The sequence below is a fragment of the Homo sapiens genome, chromosome 2 (assembly GCF_000001405.40).
Source record: "Homo sapiens chromosome 2, GRCh38.p14 Primary Assembly".
Classification (NCBI taxonomy): Eukaryota; Metazoa; Chordata; class Mammalia; order Primates; family Hominidae; genus Homo; species Homo sapiens.
In genome coordinates this window covers 27886655-27907456 of record NC_000002.12, presented here as the reverse complement: position 1 = coordinate 27907456, position 20802 = coordinate 27886655, and the positions used below count along the sequence as shown (strand labels likewise).

The 20802-nt window shown below is 39.4% G+C and overlaps 2 protein-coding genes, 1 long non-coding RNA gene and 1 pseudogene across 17 annotated transcripts in view, besides 1 other annotated feature; 3 read left to right on the top strand and 1 right to left on the bottom strand.

The window, feature by feature from the left end:
* BABAM2 (BRISC and BRCA1 A complex member 2) overlaps window positions 1–18748 on the bottom strand; it is a 450193-nt gene extending 431445 nt beyond the window's left edge. For 9 of the 14 annotated variants that reach the window (NR_137438.2, NR_137440.2, NR_137439.2 and 6 more), the window contains exons 1-2: window positions 16615–16728; window positions 12773–12924 (exon numbers count right to left, since the gene is read on the bottom strand). Coding sequence is in view for 10 of the 14 variants with exons in the window: in NM_199192.3 (NP_954662.1) it covers window positions 12773–12900 (128 nt within the window). In the remaining 4 variants the exon portion in view is untranslated. Of the gene's footprint in view, window positions 1–12772; window positions 12925–15008; window positions 15075–16614; window positions 16729–18701 lie in introns of those variants that run through there. The other 5 variants (NM_199193.3, NM_001329115.2, NM_001329113.2 and 2 more) reach the window with 2 other exon arrangements.
* MYG1P1 (MYG1 pseudogene 1) lies at window positions 10258–10739 on the top strand (annotated as a pseudogene).
* Window positions 16343–18001, top strand: BABAM2-AS1 (BABAM2 antisense RNA 1). The gene has a single exon (NR_028308.1). It is a non-coding gene; the product is annotated as a BABAM2 antisense RNA 1 (long non-coding RNA).
* Window positions 16603–16882: a silencer, noted in NCBI's record as "silent region_11306". NCBI's record gives its function as "represses an Ori minimal core promoter by ATAC-STARR-seq in GM12878 lymphoblastoid cells {active_cell/tissue: GM12878}" and the evidence as "EXISTENCE:reporter gene assay evidence [ECO:0000049][PMID:35858748]".
* Window positions 17070–20802, top strand: part of RBKS (ribokinase) — a 109009-nt gene continuing 105276 nt past the window's right edge. For both annotated transcript variants that reach the window (NM_022128.3, NM_001287580.2), the window contains exon 1: window positions 17070–17200. In NM_022128.3, coding sequence (NP_071411.1) covers window positions 17112–17200 — 89 coding nt within the window. In that variant the 5' untranslated portion in view covers window positions 17070–17111. The remainder of the gene's footprint in view (window positions 17201–20802) is intronic.

The window sequence follows — 20802 nt, the reverse complement described above, 5'->3', positions numbered from 1 at the left end:
AATTTTAAAATAATGTTTTTTAAATGAAAAATTCAGGAGTCCACAGATGAAAAAAAATCATTCTGAGGGCATTACACCTACTTAAAAGCGGAACATCAAAATGCTCTCCAAAACTTCCACTTGATTCAAGGTTTGTTATCAATAAATTGGCAAGAGCAAAGGTTGAGATAAAAAATCTTCTCGGAAAACAAAAAAAAAAAAGATGTATTTTTCAAAAAGTCAAGAGAAGCAAGGTCAGTGGGATAAACTTAACTTTCATAACATGCCATTAGAAAGATAACCAAATTACTGAGGAAATGTGGCCCTGAGATGGAAGATTACAAAATTAATTCTCAAGCAACACGGCACCAAAAAATAAAACTATTCAAGTAACATGGCAGCTGAAAAGAGGCTGTTCTACATTTCTATGCAAGCATAAGGAGACTTTTAACATATGAGTGATGGTATAAGAATAATTAATTTGGAGCCCTAAAACAAATGTATATGCATATTAACCTGTACTAAAAAAAACCCTCACCTGTCTTCCAAACTCAAAGCATTTTGTAAATTTGTCATCCTAATAAAACAAAAACTAATCCAAAAATACTATCTAAAAATTGTACACAATAGAGGGGACAAAAGACAACAGTGGAAGTGATTTTTTTTTTCCTTTGAACAATGTAAAGTGGAGCCAGGAATAGACTAGATGAATTTTCTACCCACTTTTCTTTACACATTAGACTGGCTACCTCCCTTCACTTCTTCCCCTACATCAACCTCCATACCAAATGAAGTCACCCTAAAGTGAAGTCATTGGAGGGCATGAAAAGCCCAAGATCAGAACCACCTAAAATCTCAGACCCCAATTTATCCTGGCACTTACTACCCCAGACTCTGGAAGCCTAGCCAAAGTTCCCAAAGTGATTTCAGACTTCATTGGGTTAAGGCCAACACCACCACTTACAATCTTAAGCACAAAATACAAAAGGCCATAAAACACCATATGCAAGAGCACTTTGTAATGTTAAAAGGCTCATAAACTGTTTAATTAAAATTATTTATATTACTGTATTATACTATTATGATCACAAAAAGTCTAGACAGGCAGCTAACTACCCAGGGTAGAAAAGAATATGGGCTGGGATATGAGGAGTAAGAGGAACCTGTGTTTCCTTCTGGTTAGCAATCCCAAGGAATACTTCCTGATGGACATCCTGCCCTCAGTAAAACACTTAAAATATCAACACCATGCACTGTTCACTGAGTTTCCAGATGTTCTGGTACCTAGATAAACACCCAAAGTTCCAGCCAAACTTCTTGCACATCTATGACCCCACACACTGCCCACACTAGCAGAGTTCAACAGCCCACCGCTTATGCCCTTCATCCTCAGACAGAACTCCCTGCATTATCTATCTTAAGAGGCTTCTTCACCCCTCTGTTAACAACTGTTGCATGTATCCGCTCAAGACAATCAGTGTTCAATCTCTAATGACTGTTAAAAACTCTTAAGTTCTATCTGCTAAAACAGCTGGCATCTTCATGCCCATTCATTTTTCAACCTAATCAAATATTCTAAGTTTCATCCACCTGCAGGGTCAGAGGAAGCCATGGTGATTTTTCTCCTACCTCCGTAGATTTGCAAAAAGCAATGAACAAGGAAAGAAGGCTGTCTCAGAATCAAAAATCTCTGGATCTCCCATCCATTTCTGCTACATGATTTCTCTGAGTTTTGTTAGATGAGAGTGAGCTCCTGTTTTGCTCTGCTTGCCTGGGTCTTATTCAATAGTTCCTGTTATACTGCTTGCATGGACACTCTTTATAGACTCCCTGATTCTAAAATAACAATGTGACAACAATAACACAGTGAAATAATAATATATCATACCACATATTATTTATTATATATAACAACATACAATAATATCACCCACCATAACGTGAACATTATGACCAAGCACTACTGTAAGTGCTTTATATGAATTATCTCATTTCACCCCCATAACTACTTAATAAGGTCATTAATGCCATCCCCATTTAAGAGAAAACTGAAGCACCGAAAGGTTATGAGACCTATCAAAGGTCATTAAGCTGTAAGCAGAGTTAGGATACAAACTCAGACCTCACTGACTGAAAAACCCACATGCTTACCATCACATTATCCTGCCACACAACCCCTCTAAAGATGGCTTCCTGTGTTCCAACCCCTATCCAATCTGACTTCCAGCTTCTGCCCACACCTGACCCTCCCCAGCCAAATCTTGCTTTATTTTATTTCTTCTGGTCCTGGCTATTTTTCTTTTCTCCAAAGTCATCTTAAGTGTTCTGATAAAAGATTGTTGAACTATTGAGTAAATTTTCCCATGTATCTTCTGATTCTACCTCAATCTAACTTCTGTGTTTGCTTTCATATATGCCAATAAACAACTGAATTCCTACACAATAGCAGCTAAATGATAAAACATCTAGTAATAAAGTTAACAGTAAGCACGCAGTATGGAAGAACTGCTTTAATTGTATTGACTGCTTTCTAGGTCTGCCATATAGCTATTATTTTAGGTCTTCCCTTCCTGTATTGAATCACTTATTTTCTTGTTTTACCTTCTTGCTTTGTTGGAGCATATATTCCACTAGCATCCTAAGAAAGGGAGAAAAGGATATAAATTTTTTGAGTTCTTGAAAGTCTGAAAATGTCTAGTTTTAAATTTGATTGATAATTTGGGCAGGTACAGAAGTTGGCCCAACAGACATATTGTCATAGTTTCATGAATGCAGTATTTTCTCTTATTTTTATAAGGATATTAATTATAGCTTTAAAAAAATTCTTCTGTACCTTGCATTGTCTCTGTTTTGCTCTCTGTCTTTCATGTTGATGGCTTTCCTCAGACTGATGATTCCTGGCTGTGCATTTCTGTTAAAGAATGCATCTCTAACATGAAAATTTGAAGCCCTTTATACATGGGTGTTGTCAACGACTGAGCTTCACTGTAGTGTTATCAGGCAGCATTCTGGCCTTTTTATTGGAGGACTGCCAGATTGATTATCTGGAGGTCTTTCTCTGGGACCATAAAATAAAATGTGCCCATATGGATGCATATATTCCTATGTATCAGCAAAATTTTAATTACTGGGCCAAGAAGTATGCAAATTTAAGACTTTTGATGTATAGTAGTCCCCCCTTATCTATGGTTTTGCTTTCTGTGATTTCAGTTACCCTTGGCCTACCCTGACCCTTGGTCAAGAAAACGCAATGTTTGGTCTGAAAATACTAAATGGAAAATTCCAGAAACAATTCATAAGTTTTAAATTGCATGCTGTTCTGAGATTGTTCTCACACCTTCCAACTCTGTCCCGCCTAGGACATGACTCATCCCTCTGTCCAGCATAACTGTCTACACTACCCACCCGTTAGTCACTTAGTCGCTGTCTTGGTGATCAGATCAACTGCCTTGGTACAGCAGTGCTTGACTTCAAGTAATCCTTATTTTACTGAATAAAGTGCTTCGGGAAAGCACAAGAGTAGTGATGCTGGCAATTCAGATACACTAACGACAAGCCATAAAGTGCTTCCTTTAAGGAAAAAGGTAAATGTTCTTGACTTAATAAGGAATTAAAAAAAAATATGCTGATGTTGCTAAGACCTAACATAAGAACAAATCTTCTATCCATGAAATTGTGAAGAAGGAAAAAGAAATTTGTGCTAGTTTTGCTTTGCACCTCAAATTGCAAAAATAACAGCTACAGCGTATGCTACGTGCTCAGTTGAAACAGAAAAGGCATTAAATTTGTGGGTGGAAGACACCAACATAAACGTGTTCTGACTGACGGCAACAGAGTTCCATCAGAGGTTTCAGGCATCTACTAGGGGAGGTCTTGGAACATATCCCCTAATGAGAAGGGGGGACTAGTATATTCATCTATTTCATGATTCAACTTAAATCTCAGTTCCTCAGAGAGAGCTTCTCTAACCTTCAATTCTCAATTTGCCTCTCATCAGGGTAATCTCTCTTCATTTCTCTTTCTCAATTAATTAAAAAGAAGTTTTTTTGTTAACTAAATTATGGTATGTTTCCTAATGAAACAGTATACAACTATTTAAATGAGGTTACAAAAACGTATGTAGAACACAGGGTTAAGCAAGACAATTTTTAAGAATTAGAACAAGATGGAAGGGGGGAATTTGTCCTACTGGCTATCATGACATTTCACAAGACTGTAATAGTTAAGAAAGTATGGAACTGGCACAAGGACAGTGAGGCTGACTGACCAAAACAGAAAGCCTGGCAACAGGCCCATGTGTGATATAAACTTGACATCCATGGGCAAGGATGGCCTTCTCAATAAATGAGGCTAGGTCAACCAATTATCCATACGGTGGGGGGGGTGGGGGAGACAATATCTCTATCTCACTCCATATTACAGAAAAAATAAATTCCCATTTAAAGACCAAAAAAGGAAACAGGAAAACTTTAAAATTCGTAAAGAAAGATGTGTGACTTTTGGATAGGCCCAGATTTCTTAAAACTCTCTTTCTCTCTCTCTCTCTCTCTCTCACACACACACACACACACAAACACACACACGTGCACACAGGCACATATATTCAAATCTAAAAAAGAAAATACTGTAGAATATAACTTCATCAAAATCAAAACTCTTGGATGTCAGGGGCACTAAAATAAGAATATATGCCACAGACTTTGTGCAGATATTTGTAATACATGTAATTACCAAAAGATCAGTATCCAAAATACACAAAGAATGCTTTAAAATCTATAGAAATATACAAACAATCCACTTAAAAGACGAACAAAGGATATCCCAAAGGAAGAAATCTGAATTGCCAATAAGCATATTAAAAGACTTTTCACCACAATGAGATACCAGGTCGCATCTCATCAGCTTGGCAAAAATATAAGTTTGACAATATCAAGTACTGGTGAGGCTACAGAATAGTAGAAACTCATTTCTGATGGAAGGAAAATGATTCAATCTGGCAATATCTAATAAAATAGAAGATGTATACATCTTAAGAGCTAGTAATTCTATTTCTAGGAATATACCTTTGATGGGTAGCTTTCAAAGTTTTGATCATCACACATATTTTCATTATGACCCAGTATACACATACTTACTTATTTAACCGAAATGAAAATTCACAAAACAGTGCTTATTCTTACTGTGACACATTTTGAGAGTTTCCATTTTGTTCTCATTCATTTTTTAATGTTGGGTGACTCACTCAATTGATTTTACAACCACTAATGGGTAAATACACTCAGTTTAAAAAACTGTCCCAGAAAATATTCTCATACATATTTTCTTGTGCACATGTGAGAGAATGTTCACTGTGGCATTCTTTGTCAAAAAAATAATTTAAACAGTGTAACAGTCAATCAGCAGAAGAATGAATTTAAAATTAAGGGCATATTCACACAATGGAATACAAAATATCAGCACAAAGGAAAGAACCAAACCTGTAAATATCAACACAGATAAATCTCATTAACTTTATACTAAGTAAAATGGGCAAGATATAGATGAATATATATAGTATATCATTTGTACAAACTTTTTAAACACGCAAAATAATACTGTTGAGGAATATATTTATGTATAATGAATACATAAAGTATGAAGACAGGCGTGGGGAAAAAGGGGAATGAGATCAGGGAAAAGTACAGAAAAGTTAAGTGAACAACTAAATCTAAATTATTAAAAACTGCCCATCTTCAGACGAGATTGGGCGCAATCAAGGTGGTATGGCCATAGACAAAAATTAAACTATTGCCTCCCAGGGCAGCAGCTTCCTTCCAGACACAAGGCTAATGAAGATTCAGATTGCCAGTTAGAGAGACTCATGCAGCCAAACTGAGATCAGTCTTCAAAGCTTACAGCACTCATCCTTTAAAAGTGTTCTGTCTATTTAGTAATCAAGTACTTACACTGAGTATCTATTTTTAACTAAGTAATGAAATTCAGAACATGGACAAAAAAATGCAATAGGTAGTTGTGGGCGGATGAGATGTCACAGCAGATGCCCCAAACACAGCCATGTGCCAGTGAGGTTGAGTCACTGCAATATGCTGAAAAAAGATACTGAGGCTCAGCTGCCACAGGTTGCAGTGAGCCCTCTCTGCTTTCCTCACTGTTGTATTTGCCAGGCATCATTCCAGAATGCTGAACAGACACTTAGACATTTTCAAGATTAGAAAAATCACTAAAAATGACAAAATATGGCATCTTACAAATAGCACATGCTTGTGATCAAATTAACACAGAGCAAAGAACTAATAAACAGTAAGCTCATGGAATAATTCTCTAAAATTAATAATTTGGTCCCTTCAGATCTCAGTCTGTATTTTACCTGCAAGAGTAAATCCAGTATTAGATAATACACTTTACTATAATTTCCTTTTTTTTTTTTTTTTTTTTGAGACAGAGTCTCACTCTGTCGCCCAGGCTGGAGTGCAGTGGTGCAATCTCGGCTCACTGCAAGCTCCACCTCCCGGGTTCACGCCATTCTCCTGCCTCAGCCTCCCGAGTAGCTGGGACTATAGGCACCCGCTACCATGCCCGGCTAATTTTTTGTATTTTTAGTAGAGACGGGGTTTCACCGTGTTAGCCAGGATGACCTCGATCTCCTGACCTTGTGATATGCCCGCCTCGGCCTCCCAAAGTGCTGGGATTACAGGCGTGAGCCACCGCGCCCGGCCTACTATAATTTCAAAAATGTCAACTCATTTCAGGGAATGTCATTAAAAAGAATTATGCATAACAGAAAGTAAGCAATACACTATCAGGCCAATAAAAATCCTTCCAAACCACAAGAACAAACCACTCTGATACCCAAAACAAGTAGTTTCTCAAGGAAAACATCTAACTCATTCATTCATCCATTCAAATCCTACTTACTACATTACATGTGAAAAGTACGAAGATAGATCTTAAGGAGGTATAAACATAAATTAAACAAGAACTTGGCCCTTAAGATACTGATGGGTCTAGCAATGGAGTTTAGAAACATACACAGTCTTATTAAGTAAGGTAGAAAAATCTAGATAACATAAGAGAAATATATATGAATTGCTATTTAAAAAAAAAAAAAAGAAATCTTGCTTCGATTAGGTTCTTGCCTATTTCTCCTATGAACCAGATCTAGAATATAGATAACTTAGACCTTATCTCTTCAAGGCCAACTGGCTACATGTAATAAGACTGGTTCTTGTGACCTTTAAAAATTGTCTCCTTGTTTTATACTTTTATTTATACTGTGTCCTATAGGGTATACCTCTTCGAGTTAATAGAAATTAGACATGTAGATCCTACCACTCATAACTGTGTCTGCTGAAGATCTAAAAGAAAGGAATGCCAAAAGTGACACACCAAAAAGAAGCCATTCTTTTCCCTAACTCTGTCATTGTTTTGTTACAGAAACGAGAAATTCACACTTCGGCTGATGGAAGGATTGAAGAAGGAATTGTTAATGAACTTCTAAAGAACTTCCCTGAATCTTTCAGACAAGTACTACATAAAAGGCATCAATAATGTTCCAGATTAACAAGGTCTTTCACATCATTTTATGAATGTGGGTAGAGGTATTTTTATTTCTTTTTTGAAGCTAACGAAAGTAAATTCCATACATATTAAATGTCATTAAATGCCATATCACATATTTTTCAGGCAGTTAATCCAGAAAAAGCTAGGACTAGGCCAGGCACAGTGGCTCACGCCTGTAATCCCAGCACTTTGGGAGGCCAAGGTGGGTAGATCACCTGAGGTCAGGAGTTTGACACCAACCTAGCCAAGATGATGAAACCCCATCTCTACTAAAAATACAAAAAATTAGCCAGGCATGGTGGCGGACGCTGTAGCTACTCAGGAGGCTGAGGCAGTAGAATCGCTTGAACCCAGAAGGCAGAGGTTGAGGAGCCAAGATCGCGCCATTGCCCTCCAGCCTGGGCAACAAGAGCGAAACTCTGTCACGAAAAAAAAAAAAAACACTAGGACTAGTGGATTCATTTCAAATTTGTCATCAGATCCCACTATTTGCACTTAAATCTTCAACTAAACATTCAGGAATTTGAGAACACCCAAAAGGGAATCTGTGAAAAAGAAGCAACAAGACTTTATGCTGAAAAACGTAACTGGTTTCTCAGGATACTGATAGAAAGAGTAAGAATTTCAGGTTGATATCACTTTACATATACCAGTCACCAGTCCACTAGCCATCAGGCCCCTGTCAGGTCTTCATTACCTCTGAAAAGAATGTCTGTGACATGCTAAAAAAGAAAGATTTATTTCTATGTCCTATATATTCAGGTCAATGAACATTCCTGGTTGATGGGTTGGTTTTATTTTTTTTCTTTATTTTTGTTTAGAGAAGGGGTCTAGCTATGTTGCCTAGGCTGGTCTCAAACTCCTGGGCTCAAGTGATCCACCTGTCTCAGCCTCCCAAGTAGCTGGGACTACAAGCATGTACCACTGTGCCCAGCTCAGGTTGTTTGGTTTTTTTTTTTTAATGACAGCTTTACTGAGATGTAATTTACATACCATAAAATCACTGTGAAGTGTGCAATTTGATCATTCTTCATCTATTCCCAAAGCTATGCAACCTTCACCACTATCTAATTTTACAACATTTTTGTTACTCCAAAAAGAAATCCCTCACTCAAGCAGTCACTTCTGATTCCCCCAGCCTCTGGCACCCACTAATTTACTTTCTGTCTCTATGGATTAGCCTATTCTAGACACGTCACATAAACGGAATCACATACTATGTGACCTTTTGTAATGAGCTTCTCTCACTTAGCACAATGTTTTCAAGGTTCATCATGTTGTACTATGAATCAGTACTTCACTACTTTTTATGGTTAAATAATATTCTATTTTTGATATGCCAAATTTGTTTATCCATTCATCACCTGATGGACATTTGAGTTGTTTTTGCAGGACTTTTGACCTGCAAAAACCTCAGTCATCTAATCTGATTGTTCATTTTATGGATAAAAAATTGAGATCCAGTGAGAAAATGGGAACTGCCTCTGGCTACACAGACTTAAGACTATCAATGGACATCTGAAATGCCTTCTTTTCTCCAAGCTCACCCCATTCCAATAAAAGAAGAAAATCCTTAATGTGTTTGTTCCTAGCAGTAAAATGCAAGATAGGCTAGGTCCAGAAGACCTGAGGTGGGAAGGAAAAGAAAATAGGATTAGGCACAATCTTGATGAACCAAAGGAACTTATGAAAAGACCAACAGTTTTAAACCTTCAAAAACACAGAAAAAAAGAGATGAGCACAATGCAGACATAAAGATGTTATTTTTAATCAAAGAAGGAAAGAAACATGAAAGTGTGGGAAAACCTGAAGAGTTACTCTGAAATATCCAGTGATCCATTTGAAAATCTTTTTATTCTCAGACCCAGAAGAAAAATATACTGATTTAAAGATCCCAGAAAGAGGAAATCAAAGTCAAAACCACAAACTGAGAAGAAATGAGCACAGTAAAGGAAGTACATCACTCTACTTTCTGCAGGCCAAAAATTACAGTGAGGGAAACTGGAAAATACCCTCTTGAGATCTGATCTTGATGACTTCAATTACAGATGGAGTCCATCTAAAGAAAGCATTTTGTAATTTAGGAGGCTCCAATCTTTATCTAGATTGTCTATAATAATGTGGAAATTCAGACTGAATGAATCCTATATACAGTCTCTATTTCAGAATCCCCACTTCCTACCACCATTTATAAGCTGGGGAAGTCTGTCTGAGCACCAGGCCTGCTGCTTGACTAAATGGCAAAAATTCTAAACCAGTAAAAATCAACAAAAAAAAACCCTAAAAAGTCACTTTCCAATCCCTGGCTTATCTAAGGATGAGAGTTGATTTATAAATCCCCTAATGTGTATAGTTAACTTTTAGAAGAAAAAAAAAAAAGTTAAAACTGTCTTCTGATCAACTCCACCAGAGTTCTTTCTACCAAATCCTCTTGCCTCAACAAAAAAGCAGCTAACCTAACACTAGCAAAATGGCTAGTAAATAGTAAATGCTCCATAAGTATTTGATTAATGAAATTGAAGATAATATCAGATGTTTTCAAAAGCATCCTACTATTCCAAAGAAGTGTCTTAGTTTTTTATCTTACCACTAAAGAACGTTAACTCAGTATTCTTATACCCAAGTCTTTAGCTTGGTCAAACAACAGCAAGGTGTGTAGATGGCAAAAGGCAAAACAGTCTAACAAGGAGAAAGCAGAAAGAGAATCAAGAATACAACATTTCTGCTTTTACTGCTGCTGCCACCACTGCTAACACCCCTCCAAACCCAGCACTGCATGGTTGTCTCAGAGTCCATCCTGTTACCCAAATGATCCCACAGCAACCTCATGGCACCATCATGAATGGAGACACACAAGGGCACCATTCACTGTGACAAGACAATGACATGCACATTGCTTTGCCTCCTGCCAGACTACGGGATGCAGAGAGGGTGCAGACCGAGGACCTTGAAAAATCAGCTTCATGTGACATCATGGTGGACATGTGTGAAAAGTACTACCCACAGAGACACTGATATGACCATCACCAGAGATCTTTCACAGAGACCACGAGCTCCCTGTCACCTGGGAAGCAATGGCGGACCCAGCTGAGCAATGTGGACCCAGTTGGGCACAAGCTGCTCCAGACCCAGCTGGGCACAAGCTGCTGGCCCAGTTGCTGGAGCCTAGTGAAGAGGAAAATATGGTGTGCATCCTCTATGACAAGATGTACAAGAACTTCATGGAGGAGGTGGACACAATAGATAATGAGACCTACCAGTGGAAGAAGGGGAAACTTTGACATACCCTAGCCACTAGCCTGAATGCTGGCTCAACTTAATCCCACCTGGAACCAGCCCAACCAAGGTAGGGTTCAAGTGTGTGATGGATCTAACTCTTAGAGAAGAGTTTCTGCAGAGACTAGGCTTCTATTGGTACATCTGGCTGCCAGACTGGGGCCTGGGGCCCTGGCCCAGTGATTCCAGGTGCACCTAAGTGGAGAGAGATGGGAAATGGCAAAAGTGGATGCCCTTGAAAGGAACAACTCTACCACCTGGAATCTAGGCTGCCCCTACCCCAGCCATCATCTTTGTTATCTATACTGACCAGACTAGACAATAGTAGTACAGTGTGTGCCTGAGGAGCCCCACTCATTCTAAAGCTAGCTGCCCCTGCTCAAGCCACGGTGGCTTCTTCAGGACGCCCTGTACCAGGTCAGTGAGATTCCTGGCTGCATCTTTGTCCATATCAACAGCTTCATTTGTGGATGCCATATCCAAGAAGGTACCTTGAGCATGGCCCCTGCAAACTTGCCCTAGTGTCCAATACCTATGCTTCCCACAAATCCCAGAGTCCAGTGAAATTTCCTCCATCTTAAAAAAAAAGGCAACATTTCTAGTAAGAAAGGACTCAAAAATGATGGGGATATGTCAAAAGGACCCAAAAGCCACTTGATAGCACTCCCAATGACAAAAAGCTGGAGCAACTGACCAACAAAATAAATGATAATAATATTTAATTTATAACCCACAGAGGAAAATACATACCTAAAAATTCATACTGGCATAAGTAAATAACTGAATAAATAAATAACTGAAGGAGAAGGAAGAGTGTTTCTTTACAGTAGAATTCAAATTAATAAACGGGGAGGAATGAGAAAAAGAGAAAAAGCACACTTAGACAAGCACCAGAGTAGTAATAGTTATAGGCAAGAATCATCCATGGATGCTGAAATTAATGGACAAAAGGATGATGAGAAACCGGGTATTGGCAAAGTCTCAAAGCATCACTCAGCAAAATACAGTACTTAACTAATTACAAGGAGAAAAATCAGTTAACTTTATAGTGATCACTTAACCAAGTTATCAAAGTTAACTTAGTAGTAAAAAGGCATATGGATATCATATATTCCCTGATCTGATGCATTGAGGATGGTACAACAACACATCTGTACTACACTTGGGAAAAAAACATATTTTTCACTCTAATGAAAAGAAAACATTAGACAAACCCATGTGGATGCACATTTTACAAAATAAGTAGCCAGTACTCTTTAAAAGTGTCAAGGTCATGATAGGCAAAGAAAAATTGAGGAACTGTCACTGTTGGGGAGACTAAGGAGACATGATGATTGGATCCTGGAACAAAAAAGGCATTAATGGAAAGACTGGCAAAATTCAAATAAGACCTGTAGAACAATTAACAATATTATAACAATGCTAATTTCCTGTAGTATTTTTGTAGCTTTTTGGTAAATCTAAATTTGTTTCAGGAAAAAAAAAATCTGTTTTTTAATGCAACATTTCTAGGTGTGAGATCTTGCTGTTTCAACCCCATTGTGAGAAATGACCCATTTTGGCTAGCTATTATAATATTCACATTAAGAGAGTTTACCAAATGGTATCAGATTCAGAATATGTTTGTTGCTGGACTGCAGCAAACACAATAAGAAAACAAGCCAATGAATGAAAAACACACTTTTAAAACTCTGACGGCATGCTCTTCACAAAGAAAAAACAGAAAAAAAGACATGAACATTCTAGTCATAAAACAATGGTCCACAACACAAATAAAATAACCTGAAACATAAAATGTCAAGAACTGAACAAAACCAACTGAATCAACATATGATGAGATGATGACTTGGTGGGTTTCTGTGGCAGTCAATTTTTATGAGTCTGGTAAGGAAGGGCTGTCATTAGGTAAAGGTTGAATTGGTTCTGGTACATTGACTGAATTCATTCTGGTACATACCCAGATTTTAAGTCAGTTATCCTCAAACAGTTTGTAGCATCCAGTCCCACTTTTCCATTCCGGACCACGCTAGATATGAAAGGGGAGAGCATTGGAGATATTCGGTTCAAGGCCACTTCTGGGGACATTTTAACTTGACTTGTAAATCACCACTGAAAGCAGAAGGAAAGAATAATGATCAGGGCTTACAAATGGACTAGATACAACACTCTGCCTGAAAACTGGACAGCATACAGCAGTTCCTCTTGCATGAATAAATAATTCATTTCCCATCTCTAGCGCAGCCTCTTCCAATGATCCTCCAGAAGAAACCACCTCACTGCTGCTCAGCTACTCAGGACTGGGACTACATCACTGCTTTTCAGGAACAGAAGGAACTCCTGAAATACAATTCCCTTTTCCTTCCCAAAGCTGATTTCTACACTGCCACACTCTACTCAAAGTGGTCCCACTCTATCTCACTCGTTCTACCTTAGCTGAGTCCAAGGAGCCCTCGCTAACAATCCTCTATCCCAACACAAAAACACACACATCACTGAGTTAGCAATCTCTCCCTGTGTGTCCCCACAAGGAGTAAAAACTTGATGGATAATACCGTATAAAACTCTACAACAGGCTGACCTGCTTGAAGCTATTACTTACTAGAAATTATTTACTGCTGATATATCTTTCTTTTTTTTTCTTTTTTTTTTGCGACAGAGTCTCACTCTGTTGCCAGGCTGGAGTGCAGTGGCGCAATCTCGGCTCACTGCAAACTCCACCTCCCGGGTTCAAGTGATTCTCCTGCCTCAGCCTTCCGAGTAGCTGGGACTACAGGCACATGCCACCACGCCCAGCTAATTTTTGTATTTTTAGTAGAGACGGGGTTTCATCAGGTTGGCCAGGATGGTCTCAATCTCTTGACGTCATGATCCACCCACCATGGCCTCCCAAAGTGCTGGGATTACAGGCGTGAGCCACCGCACCCGGCCTACTGCTGATACACCTTTCTTAATACCTTTCCGTCCACAGTGTAGTATAACTACCTGCTTACGTGATCTCTTCCCTGCAGGGTCTATGTTTTGAATCCCCAGGGTTTAACAGAAATACCTGGCACATGCTAAACACTCAATAAACATTTTTTAATAAATAAATGAGTAAGGGGACAAAAGTTAGAGAAATATTTCAGTATGGAGAGAAGATAATGTGCCCCCTCCCCAGAATTTGGTAGGGGAATAGATATAACAAGATCCAAGGAAGAGATATAACAAAAATCTACTTGACAATTAAATTATGAAAACATACATCTATGCAGCTATCAAGCAACACAGACTAACATGGATCTTAAGGTATTTGACTTTAAGGCACTAAGTCCTTACACTTAAAACCACAAAAGTAGAACCAATACATCATATCTAAATTATCTGGAAACTCATAGGGCTGGGGGAGGGAGTACACGAATTCTTCTTAATAGATTTCTAAATGAAAGCCTCTTCCTTCAGAGGAAAAAGTCGATTCAAATGATCGTTTCCTTCCTCAATTTTAAAGAATAATGCCACATCAAAAGAAAATTAATTTCCAGCAAGTTACCAGTAAATGATGCTCTGGTTCTAGTTTTCATACATTATACCACATGAAAACTTACAAGTCCTTGCTAAAATAAATGTTGAAAATTAAAACCTGTTTCAGTTTATTATTTCAGATAGTAAGTAATAAATTTATTTGCTAATTTGATAGCTCAAAAAATAAGAACACTTTGACCCTATATAGTGATGACAACCAGAAGTATCTTCGAGATTAACACCTTTATATTCATACTTCAGTTCTAAAATCATCCTTTTTGTAAATATAAAACAAGCTCTTCTTCTGACCGCTTAACAGATGACCGCCCCCCGACTAGTCTCTCATTTCAAAGTAAGACTAAACATCTAACACTGTACTACCAATCATAAAAATCATGTACTTTTTTAAACATTTTATCACTTACAAGGAGCGTCCATATATATTACTGCAGTTGATCTTCACAAGCCTGAGGTAGTAAGGAATTTTAATTCCCAGTTTGCAGATAATATGGGTAATTATTATAATTTGATTCTGAACAGTATACTAATCCACATCATAATTTTGAAGCCTATTTTTTTCTATTCGCCAACATTTCCACCTTCATGTCTATGTCACAATTCTTGAAGGGATGCTTATCAAAGTCATATGCTAAGTACAAATATACCTATCTTATAAAAAAGCAAAAGGGTCTCACCTATATTACCGAATTGTTCTTCTGTGTTTTTCCCCACAGTACCCATTATTACTTTATCTCTTGCTTCTACAAAAGAAGGAAACAGAACCAACACATTCTAGACACCTATCTACCCATTATCAGGCATTATATTACTCATCTCTATCTGTAATTTCATTTACATTTCCCCAACTCTGTTCCCTGAGAACAATAATTGTTCCCATTTGACAAGTGGAAGCTAAAGAAACTTGACAAATAGAAAATTAAAGCTCAGCAAAATAAAATAACTTGTTGAATGTTGGAAGCTGGAGGATCAGAATCCAAATCCGGATTCTCCAAGTCCACTATACCCATCTTTCTCTCAAATAAACATTGATAACTTCTATCACCAAAGAGAAAAGCATCAAGGTGATTTTGTAAAGCGTATATCTTATAAAATGTGAACAGACAAAAAGTAAAAATTTAAACAAATGATTGCTTTACCACTAAAAACAAACTGGACTATTGCTGACCTACTGCTGAACCTGGTCTGAGTGATTCACTAGTCAAATGTTAAAGGGAACAGCCTTGCTCTAGAAGCCAAACCATACTAAGTGACAACAATACATTCTAATTCAGCAACGGTCGTGACTTTAGGATGACACCTGAGGGAATGAATTCTATTTCCAGGGCAGCCATAATACTATGTTTTAACAGTGCAAGGTTTCACGCAGTATTAAAATCTATTTCAACCATGAGGAGGTGTGACTTCTCTAAAAAAAAAGGGCGGGGGGTGGGGAGTGGAACACAATGACTCCAAAATCAGAAGTCACTTAGCCAAAAACACTGGTCCTTTGGTGCAGTGAACCGGGTACATGGACAGGGAGTCACCACCGGTAGTAACTCTTACGCATGGCAGCACTATAATACACCCCAGATATACAAATATTTACGGTGGTCAGAGTCCCCTGAATACTACTACTGCAATTTGTATTTCCTGATTTTGACGTATTGCAAAAGGAAAATGCAAAATTACAATTTTTGCAAGGGTCTGCTACCCCAAAATAAAGTTACAAAAGGTCCTTTGATGAGAGGCCTGGGGATTACAAAGACGTCTAAAGCACCATCCAGGTTCTTGCAATTAAAATGAGATGACAAACACGGAAACATGTGCCCTGCTGACGTCATGGAACGGAAAGGGGTGGCATCCTGCTGCGTCACGTCGACGTCATACAGCGCACGAGGGAAGTTACACTGGGGAAGCAATTTCCCCCAAGGGGCAACATTCGAGAAAAACAAGTTAGCTCAGACCCGAAGAATGACCACCCCACTCTAGGGGACGTCTTAAAAAGGGACACTCTCCCCTCTTCCAAACTGTATGATTCCCCTCATCAGGCAACAAGGAACTAATACTCGGGGTTTACAGGAACCAGGGGATGGGCCAGATATGGAGAAAGAGACGCCTCTGGCCTTGGGGGCTCGTTCTTGAGGGAATCAGCGTGATGGGGATGAGAAGGGCATCTTTGGAACGGGGGCCTTCTCCATAGGAAGAGGAGGCGAGTCCCCTGGCCATATTTAAACCACAGTTCTCCACGCCACCTGTGCGACTCGGGATCCAACCTCCCCGCACCAGCCCCAGTCCAGGTACCTGGAACTTAGTCCGATCGGTAACCGGCGACTACGTGGGGTACAGGTACCCGAGCGCGCCCCCGACAGACGCACCGACCTGCGCGCGCGCCGCGGGCAGGATGCGTGCGCACTCCCCGGACGTCCCGCCCCGCCCCCTCTGCGGCCCCGAAGCTGGGCGGCGTGCGCGCCCCCGCGCCGCGCCGAGCCGGGCGCTCGGAAAGGCGTCCCCGCGGTGCCTGACAGTTCCTTCCTCAGCGCCTGCCCCGTGAGTGACGAGGAGCGCGGAGTCTCGCCATATCAGGAGGGCCCTGTTACGTGAGGCTGTGCACCGAGACTATTCCAGGAAGAAGAGGGGACACTTGGTGGGCGGGGTGATTTCGGGCAGTCAGGTGGGCGACCCGCGTAGGCGTCTGAAAGGCCCGCGTCGTTAGGGAGGGCAGGAGTGGCGTCTCTGGTTACGGGGTCGGGCAAAGGGCAGAGGTCACCGTCCAGGTTGGACAGCAGCACCTTTGAGCGATGGCGGCGTCTGGGGAACCCCAGAGGCAGTGGCAAGAGGAGGTGGCGGCGGTGGTAGTGGTGGGCTCCTGCATGACCGACCTGGTCAGGTTAGTCCGGGGCCAGTTACTCAGTCTGCGGCTCGGGGGAGGAGGCGTGCCGTGCGCTATGCGCCCAGTGGAGCTTTTGGGCGCTGGGTCTCCAGGGATAGACAGTGCTAGCTTTGGGTATGAGCTGCAGGTTTTCGAAGCCTTCAGCCTACCTTCCTGGCATGAAAGAACTTGAGTATATAAAGGTAAATCTCAGGGGAGGGGACGTAATAGGCCAGGGTTTAGTGAAAGCTCTAATATTACTCAAAGCGCTCCCCAAAGACCTGCCCTCCAAAGACTTGCGCCCCCAAAGACCTTTCTTGGCCCGGCTGCTGAGCCTTTCCCCAAACGAGCCAGGGAACTTTGCCCACGTCATTTTACCTCCGAGAATGTGCCTACCTCACAGGGTTGTTGTGAGGACTAAATGAAGTAAAGTGTTTTGTCAAGCGTAACATTATCCAAATTGGGTATTATTCGTCTGAGCTTATTGTATAAAATAATGAGTTGAGCAGAAATCAAAAAGACTGTCACCTTTCACCATGTTGATTGTCGGCATTACTGCAGTATTTTATATTTACAGCGTATTTTTCAGCAAGCCAAGTATGAATCAAAATAAAAACATAAACACAGTATTTACAACCTCTGAAAACGATGATCAAATTATGATAGAAAATATGCCAAATGAAAATTGTTGAGTTAGGTCAGTAAGATTGAGTAGACAGATCCTTCTGATTTTTCTTTTTTTTAAATTAAGGTAGCTTTTCTGATTACAAAAGTAATGTATGTTCACTGTAAAATTAGTAATAAATTCAGATATTCCAAGAAAATCCTACCACTCCAATTACTGCAGTTCAGTCTTTTGATGAATATCTTTTCAGTTGTAATGCTACTTTGTGTTATAAAAATGATCAGGTATGCTACAGTAACACCTCATTCGTCCTGAAATGTTGCTTTTCCAAAGGGTAATAGAGAACGTGGAACTAAACAAAAAGGCTTTGGGACAATCAAAATAAGTCACCAAATTGCTGCACCAAACCACCTGTATTCTACTCAGAAAATAGGTCTAGGGTCTTCATGTAACCAATTTAACCTTACCTTAAAATATTTATAAGCTGTGTTACCAAATTTCCACTGAGATTAGAAAGGTGGGAGTTAGAGAAGAGACTGCTAGAGGCAGTTATAGTGACTGACGAAAACTTGAGGATGAGTAGGAGACTGTGTAACGAGAAGAAGCAACAAAAGAATTTTAAATACCAATGACCTTTATTTTTCCACAAATATTAGAACTATTCTGTCAGACACTGTGCCAAGATAAAAATACTTTCCTTTGGTGACAGAGCATAAAATTGAATCTAGTTGGAGACATTTGTTGAAGAGGCCTGTACATCTTTTTCTAGAGCAAGAGTAAGTAAACTTTTCTGTAAAGGGCCAGATAGTAAATATTTTAGGCTTTGCAAGCCGTATGTGGTCAAGGTCACATTTTTTTTTAACAACATTTTTTAAATGTAAAAACCATTCTTACCTCCCAAGCCTTACAAGAACATCCTGCAGGCCATAGTTTGCAGACATCTGTGTAGAAAGAACATTACTGTGTTTACAACACAATATAGCAATTGATTTTACTGGTGATGACTCTTTTCAAGAAAAGGTTATATGGTACTTACTAAATTTTGTATAAAAATAGAGCATGTATTTCACTTTAGAAAAAGTTTCATCAAAAATTCATAAAGTTGAGTTACATAAAGGAATAAACCTTCATCTAAAATGATTCATTCCATGGGAAATCCACCAAGCTAAATGTTTACCATGATTTTATGTGTGAAGTGGCAGAAGAGTAAGAAAACTAAAGTGGACCGGGCGCAGTGGCTCATACCTGTAATCCCAGCACTTTGGGAGGCCAAGGTGGGCAGATCACCTGAGTGAGGAGTTTCAGACCAGCCCAGCGAACATGGTGAAACCCCATCTCTACTAAAAATACAAAAATTAGCTGGGCATGGTAGCTGGCGCCTGTGATTCCAGCTACTCAGGAGGCTGAGGCAGGAGAATTGCTTGAACCTGGGAGGTGGAGGTAGCAGTGAGCTGAGATCGCGCCATTGCACTCCAGCTTGGGTGACAAGAGCAAAACTCCATCTCAAAAAAAAAAAGAAAAGAAAAGAAAATTTTCTCATACATCCTACCTGAATAAAAGTGTCAGGGTTAAAATTCAGAGCTACTTCCTTGTTACCAAACTGAGAGCTTTCTGTGAAGCTTGACCATCAGATACTAAAAATAACTATAGTACTTTGTGGGGTGGGGTAGGGGAGTGGTGTCAAAGGCCCATTTTAGCATCCGTCAGGGTTTTAAAGTCTTATTTCAGAGCTAGAAAAATTTGGAAATTATTTATTCTAGTCCTTCAGTTTTTAGATAAATAAACTGAAGCCCAGAGAAGAATTTCTCCTCTTGGCCATATTCTTTCCTTCATAAAATATCCAAGTTTCTTCTCTTCACATGAATCAGTAAAAATTTTACTGATGATTAGCAAAATCACTAGTAAAAATTTTACTGATGATTAGCAAAATCACTAGTAAAAATTTTACTGATGATTAGCAAAATCATTAGTAAAATCATCAGTAAAAAATCATTAGTAAAAACTGTATTCCCATATAGACTCTCTCTGCTAATTCCCACAGCTTTTCAACAAACTTTTCATGATCTCTCGTTACTTATGACACTGAAGATCTTTACAAAAATCTGCGTATAGGATTTTCATTTAAAACCCTGCATCTGTGATAAACTTGGGTGCAACTTTTCTAGTTACAGTTAGTATCATGATTATATTAGTTATCTACTGCTGCTGTAACAAATTACCAAATTTAATAATTAACGCAAGTTTATTTTTTTACTGTTCTGGAGGTCAGAAGTCTGATACAGGTCTCACTGGGCTAAAATCAAGGTGTCAGCAGGGCTGGGCTCCATTCTGGAGACTCTAGAGGAGGATCTGTTTTCTTTCCTTTTCCACCTTCCAGAGGCTGCCCACATCCTTGGCTCATCGTGGCCCCTTCCTCCATCTTCAGAGCCAGCAATGGTTGTTCAGGTCTTTCTCACATTACATCACTCTGATCCCCAGTCTTCTGGCTCCCTCTTCTACATTATAAGAACTCTTGTGATTACATTAGGCACAACCAGATAATTCAGAATAATCTCTTTATTTTATGGTGACTTATTAGGAACCTTAATTTCCCCTTGCCACGTAACAACATATTCACAAATTCTGGGGATTTGGATGTGGACATACTTTGGGAGAGGGGAGCAGAGAGTATGTTATTTTTGCTACCACAGTGGTTAAGCTTGAAGTAAAAAATCCTACAATATTTAGTTCTCAGAGACTCTTTGAAGCCTATCATTCTATCCTCACATTTTACAAGTGAGATAAGGAAGAGAGCTTCAATGACTTACTCCAAATCACACAGCCAGTAAGTGGTTACTTACTGGCTAGTAAGTGGCTAGTAAAGGCTACTACCCAGGTCTCCCAATCCTTAACCTTTCTTTTTTATTTTTTTAAATATATATTTTCTATTTTTTATTTTGTTAAAGATGGGCTCTCGCTATATTGCCCAGGCTGGTCTTGAACCCCTGGGCTCAAG